A 23,706-nucleotide genomic window follows, 5' to 3' on the forward strand; every position below is an offset into this window, starting at 1 on the left:
TTTTGGTAGAGATCAGGTTTTGCCATGTTGGCCAGTCTGGTCTCAAACTCCTGACCTCAGGTGATCTGCCCACTTCGGCCTCCCAAAGTGCTGGGATTACAGGCGTGAGCCACCGCACCTGGCCTATACTTTTGCATTTTTAAGTTTTTACTTCGCTAGTCTAGTTGAGATGATACATAAAATATATAGGAATGTTATTTATAAAGTGAATACCAGCTTGCATTTCAAATATTTGGTCACTAATTTCACTACTTCAAACATAAGTGAGAAAAGTACTTTAAGTACTCCAAAATAACTTTCCGCCACAGGCATAAATTTCATTTCTCTCTCTGTTCTTTTTTTTTTTTTTTTTTTTTAAAGATGAGGCCTTGCTATATTGCCCAGGCTGGTCCCAAACTCCTGGCCTCAAGCAGTCCTTTCTCCTAGGCTCCCCAAAGTGCTGGGATTACAGGAATGAGCCACGGCACCTGGCCACAAACTTTATCTCCTCCCGTGTATGTTTTAACTTCTGTGATCCCTGTAGCCGATCATATGTGCTGTTAATGGAATTAATAATTCACCTAAATGTGGGCAAAAGTATGCCCTCCAAAAAGCAGCATAGAAATGGAACACGAAAGGGAAACATTTCCATGGTAGCGCATGGAAATTTCATTAACCAAATTAAATTGTTTTATTTATAAACAGCTTATTACCTACAAGTGATGCACATATGTGGTACACAGTAAACATCGTAGAAATGTGTTTTTTGTTGTTTTGAGATGTGGTCTCCCTCTGTTTCCCAGGCTGGAGTGCAGTGGCACAATCATGGCTCACTGCAGCCTCAACCCTCTGGACTCAAGTGATCCTCCTACCTCAGCTTCTCAAGTAGCTGGGACTACAAGTGTCCACCAACATGCCCAGCCAATTTTTTAATTTTTTTGTAGCAAAGAGGTCTTGCTTTGTTGCCCGGGCTGGTCTCAGACTCCTGGGTTCAAGTTATCCTCCCACCTCAGCCTCATTAAAGCCAAAGCCTGAAGGTAGGAAAGGAAGAGCCTTCAGGGAAGGGACCAAAATGTGCAAAGACCCTGAGGCTGAAAAGAGCTGAACATGGTCAAGGAATGGCTGGAGCTGAGAACTTGAGCATGCGCCAATACACACGGGGCCTTATATGCATAGACAGCAGGTTGGGATGTGATCAGGAGAGGCTGAGCAATGGGAGGCCATTGGTTCTGTTTAGCCAGGAGTGCAAACTGATTCAGTTTTCATTTTTACAAAATTGCTCCTGGCTGCTAGGTGGCAAATAGTGGGTGTGGGGAGACAGGGAAAAGAGATGCCAGGAGAACAGCTCAATATTACTTTGGAAAGAAGATTCTCTTCATCTAAGAATGGAATGGAAGGGAGATAATGTAGACTCAGATATTTCCATGTGAAGGGAAGGGAAAATGTTGCTCACAGTGGATGGGACTCACTTTTTCCCAAGCTTTGGTGCCAGAGAATCAAGAAGAGTAGGCCGCGCACGGTGCCTCATGCCTGTAATCCCAGCACTTTGGGAGGCCGAGGCAGGCGGATCACCTGAGGTCAGGAGTTCGAGACCAGCCTGACCAACTTGGCAAAACACCGTCTCTACTAAAAATGCAAAAATTAGCCAGGAGTAGTGGCACGCATTTGTAATCCCAGCTACTCAGGAAGCTGAGGCAGGAGAATTACTTGAACCTGGGAGGTGGAGGTTGCAGTGAGCGGAGATCATGCCATTGGACTCCAGCCTGGGCAACAAGAGCAAAACTTCGTCTCAAAAAAAAAAAAAGGTTTGCTGAGCAGCAGTAAGTGTAGAATCAATGCTAACATTAATTTGTACTGGGCTAAGATAGTAGGATTTTGTGATTTTTCAACATTAGGTCTACTGCCCAGGAGTAGGAATGAAAGAAATAGGATAATGATTCTGAATTGAAGATAGACCCCGTTGCACCTGGGGAAGGATTGACAGAAAGAGAACGTTGAATGTCACAAGGGTATTTTAGAGGGAAAAAATGGAAGCAGAAAGGAAAAACAGACTGAAACGGTAGAGAGAAAAGTGCCTGCAGGGAGGGCTTGGTGAAGAAACATCATTGTAGTGAAATGAATGAAATGTTCAACCTCTCTCCCCCTGCAAAAAAACAAAAAACAAGGAAAATCTTCTCTTTATATAATCTAAAGTTTTTACGTAAGTAAAAAGGAACAGGTAGGCCGGGTGCCGTGACTCACACCTGTAATCCCAGCACTTTGGGAGGCCAAGGCGGGTGGATCACCTGAGGTCAGGAGTTCGAGACCAGCCTGGACAACATGGTAAAACCCCATCTCTACTAAAAATACAGAAATTAGCCAGGCGTGGTGGCAGGTGCCTACAATCCCAGCTACTCAGGAGGCTGAGGCAGGAGAATCCTTGAACCCAGGGGGCAGTGAGCCAAGATCGTGCCATTTCACTCCAGCCTGGGCAAAAGAGTGAAACTTGTCTAAAAAAAAAAAACAGGTTTCTTTGAATTTTTTTTTTTTTTTTTTTTGAGATGAAATTTTGCTGTCACCCAGGCTGGAGTGCAATGGCACGATCTCAGCTCACTGCAACCTCCGCCTCCTGGGTTCAAACGATTCTTCTGCCTCAGCCTCCAGAGTAGCTGGGATTACAGGCACCAGTCACCACGCCCGGCTAATTTTTTGTATTTTTAGTAGAGACGGTTTCACCATGTTGGTCAGGTTGCTCTCGAACTCCTGATCTCAGGTGATCCACGCGCCTCGGCCTCCCAAAGTGCTGGGATTACAGGCGTGAGCCACCACGCCTGGCCGAATTTTCATAAATGATTTGAAAGAAAATGAGCTCATTCTTTCTTTTTTTTTCAGACGGAGTCTTGCTCTGTCGCCATCCTGGAATGCAGTAGCGTTATCTCGGCTCACTGCAACCTCTGCCTCCTGGATTCAAGCGATTCCCCTGCCTCAGCCTCCCAAGTAGCTGGGACTACAGGTGCGTGCCACCACTCCCGGCTAATTTTTTTTTTTTTTTGAGACAGAGTCTTGCTCTGTCGCCCAGGCTGGAGTGCAGTGGCGCGATCTCTGCTCGCTGCAAGCTCCACCTCCCGGGTTCATGCCATTCTCCTGCCTCAGTCTCCTCAGTAGCTGGGATTACAGGCACCCGCCACCACACCCACCTAAGTTTTTGTATTTTTAGTAGAGAAGGGGTTTCACCTTGTTAGCCAGGATGGTCTCCATCTCCTGACCTCATGATCTGCCCGCTTCGGCCTCCCAAAGTGCTGGGATTACAGGCGTGAGCCACCGCGCCTGGCAATTTTTGTATTTTTAATAGAGACGGGGTTTCACCATGTTGGCTAGGATGGTCTCCATCTCCTGACCTTGGGATTTGCCCGCCTCGGCCTCCCAGAGTGTTGGGATTACAGGTGTGAGCCACCGCGCTCGGCCGAGCTTATTCTTAAAATACAGTAAAAACTTTAAGCTCTCTTTTAAGGTTCTTGTGGCTTGTTGCAGGAGATAGAAGAAAGGTGAGAAGCAGGCAGTAAATGGAAGCAGAAAGAGACACAAAGTTGTGACCACTAGGTTGTGACATGTTTGGGTTTTTTCACTTGAGCTGTATACTTCTTTGGTATTTCACGCCCTAGCCTGGTCCTTAGATTATGTCTTCTCAGGTCTTCTCCCAGTGCACACAGCAACAACAGACTGACCTGAACACCTCCGCCCACACACACCAAGCCTGGGCAAGGGGAAGGTAAAACTACCCACTTTGGGCCTACATGCAGTGAGGCCTTTCAGATACTGATAAAACATTGTTGCCCCCTCATGTGGCCAATGCTGGAAATACAGCTGAGACACGTATTCCAGGGCAGTGTAGCAGCCTCAGCAACTGGGAATTTGTTAGAAATGCATATCTCGGGATCCATCCTGACCTACTAAATCAGAATTTTGCTGGACCCTACCCCCAATCTGTCTGTTTTTTCTTTTTGTTTTGTTTTTGTTTTTTGAGATGGAGATGGAGTCTGGCTCTGTCACCCAAGCTGAAGTGCAGTGGTGTGATCTCTGCTCACTGCAACCTCCACTTCCCGGGTTCAAGTGATTCTCCTGCTTTAGTCTCCCAAGTAGCTGGGATTACAGGCGCGAGCCACCATGCCTGACTAATTTTTGTATTTTTAGTAGAGATGGGATTTCACCATGTTGGCCAGGCTGGTCACAAACTCCTCACCTCAGGTGATCCATCCGCCTTGGCCTCTCAAAGTGCTGGGATTACAGGCATAAGCCACTGCATCCAACCCAAATTTGTTTTTTTTTTTCTTTCTTTTTTTTTTTTTTTTTTTTGAGACCAAGTTTCGCTCTTGTTACCCAGACTGGAGTGCAATGGTGCGATCTCGGCTCACCACGACCTCCACCTCCCGGGTTCAAGCAATTCTCCTGCCTCGGCCTCCCGAGTAGCTGGGATTACAGGCATGCGCCACCACGCCCGGCTAATTTTTGTATTTTTAGTGGAGACGGGGGTTCTCCATGTTGGTCAGGCTGGTCTCGAACTCCTGACCTCCTGATCTACCCGCCTTGGCCTCCCAAAGTGCTGGGTTTACAGGTATGAGCCACTGCACCCGGCCCCAGATTTGTTTTCTAATAAGCTCTTCAGATGATCCTGATGAATGCTAACAGACTTGAAAACCGCCATTCTCAACCCACATGTTAAAACATGTTAATATCTTCAACTGCCCCATATCTGCCACACACACTCCCCCCAGAGTGATGTATCCTTTCTTTTTTTTTTCAGATGGAGTTTCACTCTTGTTGCCCAGGCTGGAGTGCAGTGGTGCAGTCTGCAACCTCTGCCTCCTGGGTTCAAGCGATTCTCCTGCCTTCCGAGTAGCTGGGATAACAGGCGCCAGTAACCACACCCAGCTAATTTTTGTATTTTTAGTAGAGATGGGGTTTCTTCATGTTGGCCAGGCTGGTCTCGAACTTCTGACCTCAGGTGATCCAACTGCTTCGGCCTCCCAAGGTGCTGGGATTACAGGCGTGAGCCACCACGCCCAGCTTTAATTTCTGGTTTAAGAGTGGAGGCCAGGCGCGGAAATGGGGAAATGGAGTTTCCCTATGTTGCTTAGGGTAGTTTTGAACTCCTGGGTTCAAGTGATCGTCCCATGTGGGCCTCCCAAAGTGCTGGGATTACAGGCGTGAGCCAACATGCCCAGCTTTAATTTCTGGTTTAAGAAGAGTGGAGGCCAGGCGCGGAAATGGGGAAATGGAGCTTCCCTATGTTGCTTAGGGTAGTTTTGAACTCCTGGGTTCAAGTGATCCTCCCATGTTGGCGTCCCAAAGTGCTCGGATTACTGGCTTGAGCCACCATGCCTGGCCAGAGCCACTTTGGGAAGAGCAGTCTATACTTACCCTTTGTTTTTTTGTGACGGAATTTTGCCCTGTCACTCAGGCTGGAGTGCAGTGGCATGATCTCGGCCCACTGCAACCTGCACCTCCTGGGTTTAAGGGATTCTCCCGCCTCAGCCTCCGGAGTAGCTGGGTTATAGGCACCCAGCTAATGTTTGTATTTTTAGTAGAGACGGGGTTTTGTCATGTTGGCCAGGCTGGTCTCCAACTCCTGACCTCAGGTGATCCACCCACCTCGCCTTCCCAAAGTGATGGGATTACAGGCATGACCCAATATGCCTGGCTTTTTTTTTTTTTTTTTTTTTTTGAGACAGGGTCTTGCTCTGTTGCTCCGGCTGGATTGCAGTGGTACAATCATAGCTGTGAGTTTGAACTCCCAGGCTCAAGTGATCCTCTCGCCTCAGCCTCCCAGGTAGCTGGAACTAAAGGCATGTGCCACCATGCCTAATATTTTTTGTATTTTTTGTACAGACCTGGTCTCCCTATGTTGCTCAGGCTGGTCTCAAACTCCTGGGCTCAAGTAGTCTTCCCACCTCGGCCTCCCAAAAGTGCTGGGATTACAGACATGAGCCACTGATACCCAACACTAACCTGGCTAAGGTCACCCAGGCTGTAGAGAGGTAGAGCTGGGACAATGGCCTTTATCTGACTCCAGCATCCTCAGGATTTCCTCCCTTATCTGTAGAATGTGGATAAGATGACCAAGAACACATCCTAGAGGGCACGATAGCCAGGATAGGACTGTTCTAGGAACACACACGAGGCGTGTTAAAGAAGACTCAGAAAGATGAAAACCAGGAAAGAGCCCTGTGGCCGAGATCTACTCTGTATCCTAGAGTATTTTATGTACTTTTTGAAGCATTTTTTCACCAGTACTTAATAGCAACTGTTAGATCAAGCATTAGCTCCAGAGGAGTAAAAATCAGATTCCACAGATTTGTACTAATGTATCTAACACAGGTGGTAATGGCTTTTAAAAAAAAAAAAATGAAAAACAGTCCAGGCCGGGCGCGGTGGCTCACGCCTGTAATCCCAGCGCTTTGGGAGGCCGTGGCGGGCAGATCACGAGGTCAGGAGTTCCAGACCAGCCTGGCCAACATGGTGAAACCAAGTCTCTACTAAAAATACAAAAAAATTAGCCAGGCATGGTGGCAGGTGCCTGGAATCCCAGCTACTCAGAAGACTGAGGCAGAAGAATCCCTTGAACCCAGGAGGCAGAGATTGCAGTAAGCCAAGACTGCACCACTGCATTCTAGCCCAGGCAACGGAGCGAGACTCCGTCTCAAAAAAGTCCAAACACACTAGGGGTTAAATAAGCTGCTTCTCTTTCCACTGTTTATTATTAATGTACAAAATATACAAAACCAAAAAAAAAAATACTCATCCTCAAATCCATTTTGGCTCTAACCCAAGACCCTGCACAAAACCCAACCAATCCACTGTTTTCATAGAAAACAACTGATGCCAAAGTGAAGGAGAGAACTGGGAAAGGGCAAAATCATCTTGTTGAATCCACCCAGGAAGGCGCCTGGTGGGGATTCAGAGGTGGTTGACAGGGTGAAGTACCTGGAAGCCTCCTTCACGCTGGCAAGGTTCCAGGTGGGAGCAGGGAGTGAGCTGACTCCCAAAGGCAGTGCATGTAGTGTGACTTTCAGGCCCAGCACGCCGGGCCCAAGTTGATGAGAAGCTGGTCTCACTGAAGTATTTTATCAAGTCTCCAGACTGGCTATAGTTGGCAAAGGCAGACCAGCACCACCGGTCTCACCTCTGCCAGCTAAAACTTGCACCGGATGCAGATACGAGTTCGCCATCATCGAACCTAGCAGACCCAGGACGCAGACTGGGTGTTCACAGAAAGTTGAAGGTCCCACTTGAGAAAGGACTAAGAATGGTGAGCCCACGCTGGGGGAGGGGTGGGGATGATGTGTGTTCCAGAACTCAAATCCAGCTGATTGAGCCCTCTCAGTGCAGTGGGATATACAATACCCCTTTCAGCATCTCCCCACCCCATGAGGAATAATGAACTTAGCTGGGATGATTTCTTAAGTGCAGCTGATCCTGTGTCAGAGTTCTGTGTGCATGTGGGGACCCGCAATAGAAGGGTAGGGGTGTTCGCCAGGATAACCAGCTTTAGGTTCTCAAGCATTAAGGGTAATACTGGAAAGGGGTTTGGGGTACAGGGCGAATCTTCTCAAAAAGTGAAGCCAACTGGGTCTCCTCTTCAGCAGTCCAGGAACGTTTCCAGTCTCTCTCCTCCCCAGACTGGAGGAAAATATGTACATCAATGCGCACCAGTGATCAGAAAACCCCCAGGAACCCAAGCAAGTGGGAACTGAGGGGGCCGGCTCCTCATCAGCTGGGGAAAAGGGAAAATGGGCCTCACAGAAGCCATAACAGGGTGGAAAGAGCGAGGCTGCAGTCCACAGGGGTTGTGTGAACAGGGCAGGCAAATGGTCCCTAGGGCAGGGGGGGCCCATTGACACCCGGGTGGTAGAAGGCACAGTTGTTCTCATAGCGGCAGTTGCCCTTCATCATGAAATGTCGGCAGACAGGGCGGTTTGACATGTCTGTGGGAACGATGGCAAAACAGTTAGACAGGAAATAGCTGAGGGCAATGCCACCCTCACCACCCCTTGTCCATGACATCCTGAGAACTGTCTTTCAGAGACAATCTTGGGGATTTGGGGGAAGGGCATAGAGTAGGAACTGCTATGCATACTAGGACATCAAAGAGACGGGTACCTCACGTTCTGCCTAGCTACCAACAGTAGTGACTCTCACCCACTCCCCAAAAGCTTGTATGGGACAACCAAAAGGCATATGGGGGACAGGGAGCATCCTCACCTCCTCCATGGCTGTGGCCTCCATCGTGCCCTCGGTGGCCCCCTCCCCCGTGGCCAGGACCATCATGGCCACGGTGCTCATGAGGTGGCGGCCCTCGATGGTCATGGCCTCGGTGACCAGGGACATCATGAGGCCGGTGGCCATGGGGCCCCCCGTGTCCAGGGCCTTCATGGGGACGATGTCCACCACTTCCACCCATGCTTCCGCCAGGGCCTTCGTGGGGGCGATGTCCACCACCGGCACCCATTCCTCCGCCAGGGCCTTCATGGGGACGATGGCCACTGCCACCACTGATGCCACCGCCAGGGCCTTCGTGGGGACGATGTCCTCCACCCCCACCCATGCTACCACCAGGGCCTTCATGGGGGCGATGCCCACTTCCCATGCCACCGCCAGGGCCTTCGTGGGGACGATGTCCACTGCTGTTGCCCATGCCCCCACCAGGGCCTTCGTGAGGACGATGCCCACCACCTCCAACCATGCCCCCACCAGGGCCCCCTCGTCCATTTGGGGGTCCTCCTCCAGAGCGACCTCCTCTGGCGCCTCGGAATGGAGGAGGAGGAGGAGGAGGTTCGTTTCCTCCTCGGCCACCTCGGCCTCTATGGTATGGTCCAGGACCTGGTCCTGGACCCCCCCGCATTGGGCCACCCCGCATAGGGTCGCCCGGGCCATCCCAGAAGGGATCACCTCCCCGGGGAGGGGGTGGAGGACCCAGAAGACGTGGACCCACTGGCCCACCAGGGCCTCCATGGGGACCTGTAAGGGGACAAAAAAGAGAGACAGTATCAGCTACCAGGAACTGCCATCTCCCAACCTAAACCACCACCTCCCACCTTCCAGTCAATCCTATACTATTATCAGACTGAAATTAAGCAGATAAGCCCATTCCAACCTTTTACTCACCACCTACCTGGCATAGGTCCCCCAGGTCCAGGGGGAAAGTGCTGCATGCCCTTGGGGCCCCCAGGACCCCCTGGTGGGAAACCATTGGCTATTGGGCCAGGGCCTAGGAGTCCATGTGGCACTGTTAATGAAAACAAGAGTAACACAGCATGAGCACTCTAGAAGACTAGCATGATCTCCCATTTAGGTGCAACCAACTGACCCTCTCAAACCAACCTGGCAGAGCAATGCTCTCTCTGTCCAGTCTTCCCCTCCCATTTCTTGCCTAGTGGCCACAGCCCTGTATTCTTCTGCATCTTTGAAACCCTGCTTCCCCCAACTCCACTGCAGGCTTCCTCCCCCAGTCCCCTGGGGCTGGCCCTGAAGATTACCCAGCATCTGCTTGATCTTGTCCGAATAGTCTGGTTGTTTCAGTAGTTCCTCTGAAGGATGACTGTTTGGGCTACCCTGTGAGGATGTAAGAAGGCAAAGTCAACAGACAGAAAGGGTAACAACCATGGCGAAAGATAGCGCCAAAGATTAGGGGTAAGTGGGTAGATGTGGAGAACTGGGGTAAGGCGAATGGGAGACAGTGAGGAGAGCGAGCTTAAGGAGGCTCCACAGAAGGTGGAAAAGGGGAAGGAGGGTGCGTACCATGATGGAGGTGAGGATCTCTTGGACATTAATGCCTCCTCCTCCAGGGCCTTGGGGGCCCTTTCCAGCACCCATGCTTCCCATAAGATTGGCCAGAACTGGAGGCAACTTGGAGCCTCCTGCCCCATCAGGTGAGCCACCTGACCCCCCAGGTTCCAGAGTCTCAACATACGGAGTCTCATCCATGGAACACTCCTGAAAGAAGAACAAAAAAAATCAGGATTGACAGAACAGAGACATTCTCATATGAAAGATGCACCGAATTCAATGACCATCACAACTTCCATCATCACAGAACATTGACTTACCTCATCTAGGGGGATGAGTTTAGGGGGTATGGGCTCGTAGGGCTCAGGATCAGGCTCATGAGGACTATCAGGAACAACACAGGTGAGAGAAAAAAGAATGATAGTCAAGTTATTAATTCAGACCCTGAAAGTAATTTCTAACCTCCACCCCGTAATTACCCCAGCTCATGTTCCCTCAGGAGTGTCCAAGCACTCAACATCCCAGGGCACGAACCCCACTCTGCTCACCTCTCCTTGTTCAGGAAGAGCTCCTGAAGGATTCCCTTCTCCCGCTCAGCCTGGATATATCGCTCCTGACTATTGCTTCCAGGGGTGACAAGAGGTGAGGGCAGAACCAGGGGCCGGGGGCACACCCAGGGCACCTTCTCCTCCATGTTATCATGGCTCAGACGCCGCGCTGTCTCAAATGCATGTCGGTCTGACAGTATCTCTCGCTTAGCCGCCTCACCAAAGTCCTTGATCTTATTCACATTTACTGTCGGCAGGGGAAGAAAAGCAAGAGGGAAAGTAAGCACAACCAAGTCCTTTCAAAATCCCTTAAACACACCTATTACGTAGGAAATGACCTCTTACCTCGTTCAGTTTCATCCAATTCAAAATAGAAATATTCTCTCAGTTTGCCTTCCTCAGGCCATGTCACACTTTTCCTCTTCCTGCCTTTCCGGGTCAGTTGGTTAGGATCTCCAGGACTCTCCACTGGCTTGGCATCCAGAGCTCCTGGCTCCAAAGAGGCTGGAAGCAGAAGAGGTTTCAGACCCAGATCCCTCCTTTCAGAAAACCCCCCAAACTGAACCAGTTTCTAGATTACCTGTATCCATGAGCTCCGGGACTTCAACAGGGGGAACCGGGGTGCCTGGACGGTCTGCGTCCATTGCCTCAGAAGGTGGTGCTGGTTCTGGGGAAGAAGGTTTGGCTGTGCTTGGTTCTGTGCTCGTTTTCCCTTCAAAGGGGCTTGGCTATTGTGAAAGAAAAGGAAGTTAATGAACTGACTGGAAAGCCAAGGGCAAGGCAATTAGTCCAGGGTCCCAGGCACAGTCCCCCAACAGTTCCTATATAAAGGAAGACTCTGTCTCCACAATGTCTCACCTGCACCAGTCTATATCCAAGGCAAAACGCCTCTTGTTGTCCTCCCCGACAACTCCTAGCTGCTGTGCCCTTTCTTCTACTTTACCTTTTATACTCTGTCACTGAAACCTACTTCTGGGAGCCCATACCTTGGCAGCCGTAGGTGACAGTACTTTTTTTTTCTTCTTAATTTTGATGCCTGGAACAGGGGCTGAATTAAGAGCATCCAGAAAGCCCAGGCCCTCCATAGCTACAAAAAGAAAGAGCACCAAATGGCATCATCAGACCTCCTTCATAATCCTACACCTGCAAACACAGTCCAGGCATAAAATGAGCCAGTGAAGACCCTGCCTCAACTTAGGACACGATAAGCTCAAGAGGACCAGGAAGCACATGCAGGAGGATTCACACAGGATATTCTTGTTGTTATTCTAGGTTTCTCATGGCAGGCAAGCCATAGCTTTGGATGTGAATTATAGCTCAGGTAGCTGACGAAGTGAGCCCTTGTGAACATGACAGATCACCTTACCAGGTGCCCCTGACCAGTCACAGAATGGCACACGTCCCTATCTTATCTCTAAAATTACTCCTAAGTGACCCCTGAAACGGGAGTTCCAGAGGTACAAAAAGTAAGGGATACCAAGAAATCAAAGGAAAATGGAGGGAAATAATAAAAGAGAAGGGAAAAAACTTCTCGTTCCCAGGGACATTCATTCCCATAAGAGTTTGCTCCTGGCCAGGTGCGGTGGCTCATGCCTGTAATCCCAGCACTTTGGGAAGCTGAGGTGGGTGGATCACGAGGTCAGGAAATCAAGACCATCCTGGCTAACATGGTGAAACCCCATCTCTACTAAAAATACAAAAAATTAGCCGGGCGTGGTGGCGGGCACCAGTAGTCCCAGCTACTCGGGAGGCTGAGGCAGGAGAATGGCGTGAACCCGGGAGGCGGAGCTTGCAGTGAGCCAAGACCGTGCCACTGCACTCCAGCCTGGGTGACAGAGTGAGACTCTGTCTCCAAAAAAAAAAAAAAAAAAGTTTGCTCCTAATTCAAAGTACATCTTCCCCACTTTAGACTCACGCTGTGGCGGGATGATCTTCACTTTGATCTCTTTGGTGGCATTAGGTGTTGTGTTGAGTGGCTTGTATTTCTTCTCTGCAGGGGGAGTGGCATCTCCTGGAGCAGCTACGTTGCTGTCAGAAGAGGAACTGTCATCAACATCTCCGACTCACCCCCTCCTGCTCCCTTGTGTCCACAGATCCACCCCATTCAGAGCCTGAGAATATGGTCCATACCTCTGACGTTTGAGGGGGATGGGTTTAAGGTTGTACTTGTCAGAAACCACCACTGTGCTGGCATTCTTCTTCACAGGCACCAAGGATGGTGTCTCCAGCTCTAGTCCTGGGGAAAGAAGCACGGTGTGGGCAGCTGAACTCAAACCCCAGACCCCCGAATTTTCCTCCCGTTCTCACCCGCAAATGTTCTTCTAGCCTTGTAACCAAAGCTTCCTCTGCTAGTCTTCCCTCTTCCTTACGATTAACATACCACACATCAAATGATTCCCCCATAAGGCTCTGGGTGTGCACATGCCCATGAACCCTCCAGAGGCCAGCCGCCAGTCTTACCAGTGGAACGGAACTTGGCATGACTGGGTGCTGTGGTGCGAAGAGACTTGGGCTTCTCCCTCTTCTTCTCTGGGGCCTCCTCAGCCCGGGTCTCAGCCTTCACCTCTGTCAAAGGTCGCTCAGGAAGGGTAGTTCGACTTTTTCCTTCATCTTTACGTTTCTTCTTATCTTTCTCTGTTGTGAAAAAACAAAGCAGAAAAGGATTTTATTTAGATGAACACTGTCAGAGGTGAAGCAGACTGGGAGCACCTAAAGGCCACATCCCAATAGGAAAGAAATAAATACAAAGGATAAAGGACTAAGGAGCTTACCAGCAGGCTGGGTACTGCTCTGAGAGCGGATGACAGCCATCCAGTCGCTGACAAGGACTGAGGCCAATTTCCGGAGCTCTGCAGGTGACAGAAAGGGGAAATGCCTAAATAATGTAAAGTAACATTCTTCCAGGAACAGAAAATGGGAGGTTTGAGAAAATATTGTGAAAATTTATGTAACGGAGAAAGTAACCCAAAGTTTTAAGAAGAACATGAGATATGCTTAAAAACCAAACCCTTAAAAAATGGAACAATGAATTAGAGTTGTGTTCTACTTGGATAACTTTCAACTCTGATGTCATCACACCACTCTGGAGTAAAAAGACCTAATATTTCAGAATATGTGGTTAAAATCTACATTAGTAAAAGACTACACGTTGGGTGCAGTGTACACTGCTTGGGTGATGAGTGTACCAAAATCTCAGAAATCACCATTAAAGAACTTATACATGTAACCAAAATCCACCAGTTCCTCAAAAACTGACATTTTTTTAAAAAGCTACGTTAGTTGCTTTATGTATAACACACCTAATTGTTACAACAATCTGAAGACTTTTTATTTTCCTTTATAGATGTGAAAACAAGAATAAAATTTGTTTCTAAATATATGAAAAAATACTTTGTAACTCTTTCCTTTTGTACTTGGCAAATAACATCTCTGATCTATGGCACCTCTCTTCTGGCCAACATTTCCACTTATAAACTCATTTCATAATTTATCATTTAGTAATAGGAGTTTCACAGATGAGACACGCTAGGATGATACTATTTCCCACAGCAAATTTTAAGTGTATGTGTTTTATAACAAGCAATTTTAGGAATCAGCTTCCAGTTAAAGTATGGCACCTTATATTCAGCAACAGAGAAATGAACAACTTTGGAATTGAGAACAGGAAAGAGGGTACAGGTTAGAGGAACTTTCTCTTTAAAAGAAGGAAAAAAAGCAAGGTGAGGTAGAAAGAGAAAAGTGAAGGGACAATCCAAGGATGGGAAAAGATATTAAGGTAATTAAGTGGAAGTAATAGAGAAAAGCCCATGAGAGAGCAGAAGTGGCACCCTACCTTCATCCTCACTTGACTTGCTCAGCTGCTTCACCAGTTTAGCTGTGTTGTTCTATGAGAGATGGGAGCAGCAGAAAGGTAAATGCCAGGAGGCAAATAATTCCACTTAGAGCTAAAAACGACAAAAGTTACAGTCCTCCCTGCTTTTTTTTTTTTTTTTATTTTTTGAGACGGAGTCTCACTCTGTTGCCCAGGCTAGAGTGCAGTGGCGCAGTCTTGGCTCACTGCAGCCTCGACCTCCCAGGCTCAAATGATTCTCCCACCTGAGCCTCCTAAATAACTGAGACTACAGGCATGCACCACCACATCTGGGTAAATTTTTTGTATTTTTTGTAGAGACAGAGTTTTATCATTTTTGCCCACGCTGGTCTTGAACTACTGGGCTCAAGCAATCCACCCACCTCAGCATCCCAAAGTGTTGGGATTACAGGTGTGAGCCACCACACCTGGCTGACACATTCCTTTTTTTTTTTTTTTTTTGAGACGAAGTCTCACTCTGTCGCCCAGGCTGGAGTGCAGTGGTGCGATCTCGGCTCACAATAACCTCCACCTCCTGGGTTCAAGCGATTCTCCAGCCTCAGCCTCCTGATTAGCTGGGACTACAGGCGCATGCCACCATGCCTGGCTAATTTTTTGTATTTTTAGTGGAGACGGGGTTTCACCACGTCAGCCAGGATGGTCTCAGTCTCCTGACCTCATGATCCGCCCGCCTCAGCCTCTCAAAGTGCTGGGATCACAGGCGTGAGCCACCGTGCCCAGCCGCCACACACCTATTAAAGGAGATAAATTCAAACCAAGTCTTCTTCTTCTAAATTCCTATTTTTTTTCTGCTGTTCTACCTCACAGGCCCAAGATTACAGCCACATCAGTCAGTTTGAGTTTTTCATCCATTAGACTAAACCAAAAAAGGAAGAATCAGGGTTTAAAGACTAAAGGTACCTGCTTGAGATGGTCTACAGTGAGCGGTAGATGCTGCAGGGTCAGTAGAATTTGCTGGAGGAGGGGAATGTTGTTGGTTGTCTTTGAATACGTCAGCCAATTGTTAAGAAGTTTGTAGCCGCCAACGTCAATAAATCTGCAGGCAGGCAGGAGAGTCTATCAGTAATGCCCTTTCTAGGTTTTGACAGTACCACATCCTACAATCCCAGTCTCCCATCAATGACCGAGGAACCCCATGCCTCACCGCCCCATCTTTTCGCTACACCTTCCCATTCCAACCATCCAGATCCCCACTTACTTGACCAATATTTCTGGTGAACGGGTCTGCAGGAGAATGTTCAAGTAAGTGCATCGACTCACCATCTTTCGTGCTTCCTTCATCAAACTGCAGAAGATGAGTTAGGGTTAGAAATGAAGCAGCCAGTATCTCTTCTCTTAGCAAAAGCGCCTCTCTGTGAACTGCCTAGAGATTCCTAATGACTTGGGACTTTGCTCCAGAGAAGGGGAGTCACATATACCTCTAGGAAGATGGGATGGATCCAGTGTGACATGGAAACTTATGGGAGAACAGAGACACCGCAGTCTCTGACCTGGGGAGGAGAGCATCGCTGCCTCCGTAACACACAGGATGAATTCCATTCTGCCTCCAGGTGATAAGGCTATCCCTCAACAACTGTCCCTAATAGTCTGTTCAAGACTGGCTTAGTTATTTACTCTCCCCTGAAAAACCTGAGAATCCCTGAAGGAAAATAACATTATGGGTAGGTGGAACACGAACCAAAACAATCTAGAATTCTGTTACCAGGCTACCCTGCTCTCATTCCAAAGCATGACTCCCTTGGGACCGTGGACGTCCAAATCTCCAGTTTCCATTATGGTCAGAAACAAGTGATCATCTTTTCCTATCCCTTATCCTAAAATTGTTACATTTTAATCCTATTGCACTGACTATCTTTCCCTTTCCTTTCCAGGATCATTCCAGTGTGCCTCAACTGCAGCCATGTTTTAACACACAATATTCTCTACTCACAGTGAATACAAAAAGGGGTAAAGACTCACCTGAAGATCTTGGAAATCCCATCCACACTTTTGACTTCCCCATCTCGGTTAAGGAAGCTGTCCAGGCCCTTGAGAAGTTCTTTGGGGTCTATGGGACCCGAACCCATGATGGTGGTTTCTATGGTAAGAGGACAAAACAAACAAACCCACAGAATAAATGGGTGGCAAGGACTACCCGAGTAGGCCCTCTAATAAACCACATCTCTATATTTGACAAAGTATAATGACTAATTATTCAACTATGCTATTTTTTAGATATGAAAAATCGACACAGACCACTTGCCACTACTGAGAAAATAGCCCTGGCAAGTTAAGCATGGGGAGCATATGTGACTGAACAGGAAAGCAATTCGATTGGAGGAGTAGGGCAGCACACCTGTCCCTCCCTCCCAGCAGCATCCTTCCTAGGATGGCTGAACTTCACTAGATCGTATTAAAGCTAAGATCAGTTCCCATAACAAGATGTTCAACTCTCCAGGGCATTTACACCTATCGTTAAGTCCTGTCTTCCCTAGTTGCTGATAAATTTGGCTTGAAAAACAGCCTATAGCTTGATAGAAATTGGGCCAATCTTGGGTGTTTGAGCTAAATGTCTTATAAGACTTGAGTCCTTTTTATCTTAGCCCATTAAGAGTCATAATCACTACACATGGCAAGATATGTATCAGCTGAAGTGGTAGATGATGGAGAACAAAACAAAACTTGAAAACAGAATCCCTCCCTAAGGAGATCTGGGAGTAGGTGCCAGAGATTGAGACAAATGGATGCATGGAAATCAAGCAGGTCCTCCTAGACCTTGAATAGACTGTCACTCATTAGCCAAACACTACACAAGTTTTTACTGTCTCTAAGTTAAAAGGAAGCTAGTGGTTTGTGCTTTCAAAAGCAAAGATGCGAATCTGGTCCTCTCCTCAAAAATCACGCTGTACAAGATCCCCTAGGAAAGCCTAAAACTGAAAACCATGGAACCTAAAAAGGGAACAGATAAAGCCAAATGCTAGAAAAATTCCCTTTTAAGCAGCTGTTTTAGACCAGGTTGGGAAGGGAATTAGTTAAAAGCTAAGCTCCTTTTATGGAAGGGACAAGCCAGAACTGAAGTTCCAGAAAGGTAATTTAGGATCAATATGGTTCTGATTGGGATTTTTATCTACACTGCCTCTAAATACTTGCTTCTAAGACCCAAAAAAGAGGCTGGGTGCAGTGGCTCATGCCTGTAATCCCAGCACTTTGGGAGGCCAAGGTGGGCAGATTCCTTGAGCGCAGGAGTTTGAAACCAGCCTTGGCAACATGGCGAAACCTCATCTCTACAAAACATAAGTCGAGTGTGATGGTGTGCACCTGTAGTCCCAGCTACCCGGGAGGCTGACGTGGGAAAACGGGAGGACTGCTTGAGCCCAGGGATACTGAGGCTACAATGAGCTGTGATTGTGCCACTGCACTCCAGCCTGAGAGACAGAGTAAGACGCTGCCTCAAAAACAAACAAACAAAAAACCACCAAAAAAGAAAGCCACTTCAGCAATATCTGCCTTTGGGCAATAAGGCCCACACTGAGTAGCAAGGAAGAGGCAAGAACAAAACCTTCCTCATCCTACATCTAGCACAGAAGTAACAGACACAATCCCAGCAGAAGGGTAGAAAAATCAGTATTTTACAAAGATGAGTAGTTTTGTGCCGGAAAAAACACAGGTTTCTTGTAAGACAATGCAAATTAGTTCTACTTGTTCTCAAACAAAAGAAAAAACATAGCATAACAATCTCAGCCTTTTTGTCCTCCCAACAAAAACGTCAGTAAGTTTCCAAATGTGTAGGTCCTAACAACCTAGGCGAGCAGCAGCAGAAGCAGGGAGGAGGCAGCCAGGAAGGGTAGGAGTATAATCTTGGCTCTGGAGATCATAACCTGTGGGCTGAACAGAGGGAGAGATGAGGCAAGAAATGTTGAGAAGTCGCTGCTGCCCTGGAACCTCCACAAATACAAGTGGAACCTGAGGTCAGAGAAAAAACATTCAAGGAGAATACTGGAAAAGATTAGATGTCCGTGGGCCAAATCCACTCAAGTGTGGTGATTCCTACACACACAGAGACAGACACAGAAATAAAGGTATTCTTCCCATGTAGTGAGATACTATAAAGTGATCTATAGAAACTATAAAGAGATACGATAAAGGGACACATAAAACAGATATCACATCTGTTGGAGACTGGAAAAGCAATGTATGGGTTCCAATAACAACATATCATAAGCAATCAAGAGACTAAGAAATTTTTAAAACTCCCTCTCTCTATATATACACACATACCTACCATTAGATTCCTAAAGCAAAATATATGCAATTTGACAAAAGGCCTTGAATTAAACATCATTTCAAACCAGTTACCCTTGACTGATTCAAACCCAGAGTTGAATATATATAACCCTGGAGAATTCCTTTTTGCATATCCAACTACAAGCTAAGCCAATAAATAGACCTACTACCCCTATTTCCTTCAGACACTAAATAAACTGTCATCTGAGCTCAAGTGTTCCTTAAGAGGATGGGAGACAAGAAAGAAGAGCCAGTCTTAGAAAAATGGACCAATGAGTACAAAGCTAAATTCTGTCCAGTGCCCTCTGCTGGAAATGGGATCCAGGGACTTTTTTATTCCCACATGTATAAACAAGAATAAAAGACATTAATAGTCAAAGGGAAGCTAAGAGACAAAGCAAAATTAGCGTTAAATATTCATTTTCCACTACTTATATTTTGGAAATATAAGTGAAATTTTGTCTCATGAGCACCAATCTTGATAAAATGTAAGTGGGTTTTCTCATGATGGCCTTCCTTCAGGAAGATTAGTTCTTATTTAAAATTAAGGACCCCAAGTGTCTTATAACCTAGTTTCCTTGCTTTGAAGTCAGTATATTTTGGAAAAAAACCAAACAATTTCCAAGGCGCTCAAGTGGAAAGGAATGTAAAGTCCAACATTTCGGGCACAGGGCTACAGCAGAGAAGGCAAACTGAGTTGATGAAGGCAGGCAGGGGCCGTGACTAAGTGTTGTAACATTACCTACTCAAGATCTGGAGTCTAGAATGAAAGCTTAAGAAAGCTTTCTGGAACCACAAGTAATCCACGGCATGATTATGTCTTCTTTTAATGAGCTGCTATTTTCTTGACTGCAGAACATACAGAAGGTGGGGAGTGAGGTAGCAACCCCCTGGCCTACCTCCACCTCATCCTAAGCTATGCGTTCCTTATGGAGAATGTTTCAGGCAGAGCCATACTCTACTGGCACAAGGCATTGGGGAATTTTCTACCATTTTTACCAGAGATAAACGTCTGTGACACCAACTCCTGCCTTCAAAATGAATTTTACTTGAGGGTTATTCAATTAAATAGGGTGAAAAAATATCCAGCATAGCTAAAGTTATTCCACACCCATCACCAATGAAACAGGACTGAATTGGTTCAGGATAAAAATTCTGTGCAAGTCAGAGCTCTTTAAAAAATAACTGTCTTCTAACAAAAGGAGAAAAAAGTCCCAAATTTACCTTAATTTAGAGGCACTTCTGGAAATGAAAATGATTTGTACCTAACCCCTTATGTTCCCCTTCCTTTCTTCAGTGTTTTAGGCACTTCCTAGTTTGACACAATAGTGGACTGAATTATGTCTCTCAGGTGATTCATCACAAGGTCATAGCTTTCTTCCAAGTAGTAAGCCCCTACCCCTCAGTCATTTTGCAAACCTGATACATGAGCTCCTCAAAAGCTTATCTGCCTTCCAATAAAGATGCAAAATGATATACCACCCTGACTCATAGAAAAAGACCCCAGACTAGAACTCTGGCCACAAACTACAAGGATCAGGTTTTCCAAGATTTTCTGAATGGATGTGGTTCCCCTAGTAGACCTGGCTTCCCATCTCCCATGTTAAGGAAGATCTTCTTTATTAATCCCCTGGCTCACTAGAGATCAGGAACCCCAGTGGGTAGAATGTTCAGCTCCCAAGGAAGATATGCTGCAGAGGCACATGGCAAACTGCTTAAAAGAAAAAAACAAAACAAAACAAAAAAAGCTTGTAGTCAACAGACATGTGAAGAGTCCCTCCCATCCAATCCAGAAGCTTAAGTAATAATTTGAGAATCTGTACCCAGTAGGAAGTTAGCCCTAAGTCTCACCCAGGTCACCAGAGGGCAGTTATACTTTCCAATTCTGCCTAGAACCTCCACGCTTCAGTGCAGGACTTTTAAAAATTAAAATTATATGGAGAGTCTGATAAAGATTTGACTTTGAAAAATTTGGGGGAAGAAAGGAACCAGACACCCAATACCACCCTCAGATAGGGCATGGCTTCTGAACATGCACCAAATGCCACAGCACTGCATGAGTTGAAAAATGAAGAGGACATCATTTTTTCATTAATGCTTTTAGGAATTTCTTTTAGAAGGGAAGGAAAAAGAAATTCAAAAAAGGTGGCTCTTTGGGGAAAAAAAAAAAATGAAAGTTGTGAAATGTAATACCAGAAAGGTTTTGCTTACCAGAAACCGTAGCTTGATTCCCCCTGCCTTGAGTTTACAACTGCCGCCTCCTTTCCTAAAGATTCACTTCTTATCCTAGTACCAATGTACAGGAACTAATCAAGTGCAGAACGTGATACAGCACTGAATACAGTTTATCCCCAAACTGAGAGGTGGGAATGAGGGCGATTTAGAAGAAAGTCCTAAAAGTACCCACCTTCCCCCGATTCTCATTACACAAAGCGACCAAATGCAGGAGGCCCACTGGTTCCTAAGCAGAAATGGCACACTTCAGTGTCATTAGGCCCGTTTATCTCCAAGTTACTCTTGCAAGCCCTTGTGTCTTTCCCATCTCCCTCTACACACATATATACATACACACACGCTCACACACATCCTCAAAGCTTCCCAGTCTTAGGTTTGCCTGTTTTTTCACCCCTGGCAGCTGAAGTGGGGAAAAATTACAAGCAGTTGTGATGAGTGAAGGAAAGTGAAAATAAAAACTGGTTCTATAAAAACTAGAACTACACAGAGATGGACAGCCTTGATACTTAATTCCTATAAGCTCCTATCCCTTTAAGATATTTTATATAATGAAAATAAGGAAAATGTCTTCTCCCTAGCAGCAACGAGCACAGGCAGTGCAAAAGCATCTGCTCAGGGGTGGAGCTTCAAGAGGGTGGAGAGAGGAGGAAGAAAGCTGATTACATCACCTTTCAAGGCTGCTCCTCCCACTTGACCAAGTTTCTAGGGCGGCCCTAAGCTCAGGATGGCAAAAGGGGGAGAAAAACAACAAAGACGGAGGGACGCCATTTTGTAATGGAGAAAGAGGACTTAAACTAAAAAGCCACCCGGCTCTGCCGGTAGCTTCAGTTACATTATAAAACACCTTTTTAGTAAAAAAAAAAAAAAAAAAAATCAAAAACCAGTTCCCCATCGTGAATAATCTTTGACCTATTTTGATCAGTAAGAGCGTAGTGAAAATTAAAGCAATTAAAATATTAAAAAGAACAATTTTCTGCAGGGAAGAACTGAATTTGCAACGGAGGTTCAACCGGCTACCATCGACCACCCCCATCCTCCCTATAGAGGGAAAGGGGGAGGAAGGACTTGGACCCCTCTCAACAAATAGGGTTGAGGTGGGAGGACAGGAAAAAAAATGGGTCAAGACACAACCTGCAACGCCGCTTGGAAGACAAAAGGACAAGGAAAGTCGCCATATTGAAGCAGGGAAGAAAAAAATTCCTTTTAACGACACAAATCTTTTAGAAAGCTAGCATTCAATTGCACTAAATGGCTTTTAAAATTATACTCCTAAATTCCACATTTCCCAACCTTTCCACCCTCTATTTAACTGTACCTCCCCCACCAAAAAATATCAAGTTAAAATGTTAATCACTCTTTTGCTTTTAAATACCTATGCAATCTGCAACAATTATAAGACATTCTTTACCTCCCCAACTATTATCTTGTATGTACTGGCACTAAGATTATATTTTGTCCTAAGTGTCTTGCAATCTTTATTCCTAGATTGCCACCTATTTTAACCACACAAATATACCCCAAGCAAATTACATTAAAATTGAGAGGATTTAACAGTCATTTAAAAAGTTATAGCGAGCTATTACTTCTCTCTGCCCATCTCCTTACCCTGCAATCTTTATGTACAGATTGCTTATTAATCTGGCAAATTGAAAGGCACCCTGCTTGTCTCACACACAAAGAAGTGGTACTTCTGGGCCACAAGATCCACCATCTCTTGTATGTGAGCTCATTAACCCTTTTGAAGACTGCTGCTAACCAGAGGAAGGTAACCATTCCTCCTTATATAAACACATATGGCTTTGGCAGTCTGGAAATTGGCTGGATTACCAAGGGTTAACCATCAAAATCCTCACTTGCTGGCCCTCCCTCCACCCTCTCTTTGCCTGCAGCAAGGCAGGGAAGAGATAGGTGGTAGGGGAGAGAGAACAAGACTGTTTAGACCCACAGGCCCTTTTTAATGGAGATTAAGTGACCAGATTGGTCCTTCTCCAGTTCTCTATTTGTTCTATGGTCTCATTTCTTCCTCTCATTATTTTTGGTTTCACAACGGGAAACGTTGATTTCTTGTTGCAAGGCTGGTTTTTGAAAATTCGACACTTACTATCCAATTTTTTTGCGACGTCAGCACCTCGGGCTCAGGGGGGAGGGGGTAAAATTTTGGAGGAAAAAAAATAAAACAACCAACCAGGACCCAAAACTCAATTATTTAGGGGGCCTCATTGGATCAAAAAGTCTTTTAAAAAATAAAGGCCAACTCAGTATTCATTTCCCCCCCACCCAACTCCATTTAGGGAGGGGGGTCGCAGAAAAAAGTTCTGAGTGGATTCAAAAAAGTAAACGCTGGATGAGTGAATTTGGGTGGTTTGGGAAGGGAGGGTGGTTGATTATTTTTGAAGTTATGTAGTGACGGTCCTTCGGCCACAGATTTCAAGTCCCAAGCAGCGTGGGCTGGTGGGGTGGGCAAGATAGGTGGGAAGGGGCAGAAGACACAAGTGGTTGGGCTGGTGGCTGCTGTTTTCCCTTTCCCCCCTCTCTCAGGATCCTTTCAAGGGCTTAGATGTTGCTGCGGCTTGTTTCTGTTTTCCTCGTGGCCGGCCTGTCTTTCTCCGAGAAAATTCAAACCTGGGATAAAAGGAACACAAGGGAGAAAGATGTAATCAGTACGGGTTGCTTCAAAACACTCACAAATGCCATCTTTGTTGTCCCCAAACAAACCTGTGTCCCATCCTGATCGCAACCGCTTTAAGCCGTGGCTCTCAAATGAACCCATCCATCCCTATCCCGCTTCCCAGATCCAACGCTCTCCGCAAAATTTTACCCACTAGACGACAAAGTAGGCAAACTTACCTCTAAACGAACCCCAGAATGGCGGCCGCCCGCTCGGGTGGAGTCTTTTATACCCGGACGCCGCCCAACGCGCCCAAACGTGCTAGTGAAACGCCCTTGTCGCGAGACATTATACGCGAGGCGTGAACTCATTGGTCAACCCAAATGACAACTCGCCAACTGATTGGCTACTCTCACTTCACCTTTGCTCCGCCCCTTTCC

The 23,706-nt window shown here is 46.6% G+C and overlaps 1 protein-coding gene across 6 annotated transcripts, besides 1 other annotated feature; it reads right to left on the bottom strand.

Moving 5' to 3' along the window:
• Window positions 1-6,694: 6,694 nt before the first annotated feature.
• PPP1R10 (protein phosphatase 1 regulatory subunit 10) lies at window positions 6,695-23,525 on the bottom strand. 6 transcript variants are annotated; one of them, XM_011514722.2, is made up of 21 exons: window positions 23,506-23,525; window positions 22,760-23,280; window positions 20,831-20,884; window positions 16,120-16,237; window positions 15,359-15,445; window positions 15,061-15,196; window positions 14,122-14,173; window positions 13,061-13,138; window positions 12,750-12,923; window positions 12,420-12,525; window positions 12,205-12,317; window positions 11,276-11,376; window positions 10,870-11,017; window positions 10,635-10,793; window positions 10,290-10,536; window positions 10,062-10,125; window positions 9,754-9,948; window positions 9,492-9,567; window positions 9,128-9,241; window positions 8,218-8,973; window positions 6,695-7,940 (listed from the first exon to the last, which is right to left on the bottom strand). In XM_011514722.2, exons 4-21 carry the CDS (start codon window positions 16,224-16,226, stop codon window positions 7,831-7,833), a joined length of 2,823 nt encoding a protein of 940 aa, XP_011513024.1. In that variant the 5' UTR covers window positions 16,227-16,237; window positions 20,831-20,884; window positions 22,760-23,280; window positions 23,506-23,525; the 3' UTR covers window positions 6,695-7,830. The 6 variants fall into 6 exon arrangements, 3 of the variants coding, with proteins under 3 accessions (XP_011513024.1, NP_002705.2, NP_001363124.1); NR_072994.2 differs by lacking the exon at window positions 20,831-20,884 and having other exon boundaries at window positions 10,870-10,956; NM_002714.4 differs by lacking the exon at window positions 20,831-20,884.
• Window positions 15,601-16,800: an enhancer, noted in NCBI's record as "BRD4-independent group 4 enhancer chr6:30577096-30578295 (GRCh37/hg19 assembly coordinates)". NCBI's record gives its function as "activates an origin of replication core promoter dependent on BRD2, P300/CBP, MED14 and CDK7 cofactors, and independent of BRD4, by STARR-seq in HCT116 cells {active_cell/tissue: HCT116}" and the evidence as "EXISTENCE:reporter gene assay evidence [ECO:0000049][PMID:35650434]".

Source organism: Homo sapiens, chromosome 6, assembly GCF_000001405.40.
Source record: "Homo sapiens chromosome 6, GRCh38.p14 Primary Assembly".
Lineage (NCBI taxonomy): Eukaryota > Metazoa > Chordata > Mammalia > Primates > Hominidae > Homo > Homo sapiens.

Bases quoted from the DNA above. Each gene is read 5' to 3' on its own strand.
- PPP1R10 (NM_002714.4), bottom strand. From the start codon at position 16,226: ATGGGTTCGGGTCCCATAGACCCCAAAGAACTTCTCAAGGGCCTGGAC. The intron at 11,377-12,204 runs GTGAGTCTAAAG...TTCTTTTTGTAG, and splicing joins GAAGATCATCCCGCCACAGC to CTATGGAGGGCCTGGGCTTT. The intron at 9,949-10,061 runs GTAAGTCAATGT...TTCTTCTTTCAG, and splicing joins AACTCATCCCCCTAGATGAG to GAGTGTTCCATGGATGAGAC.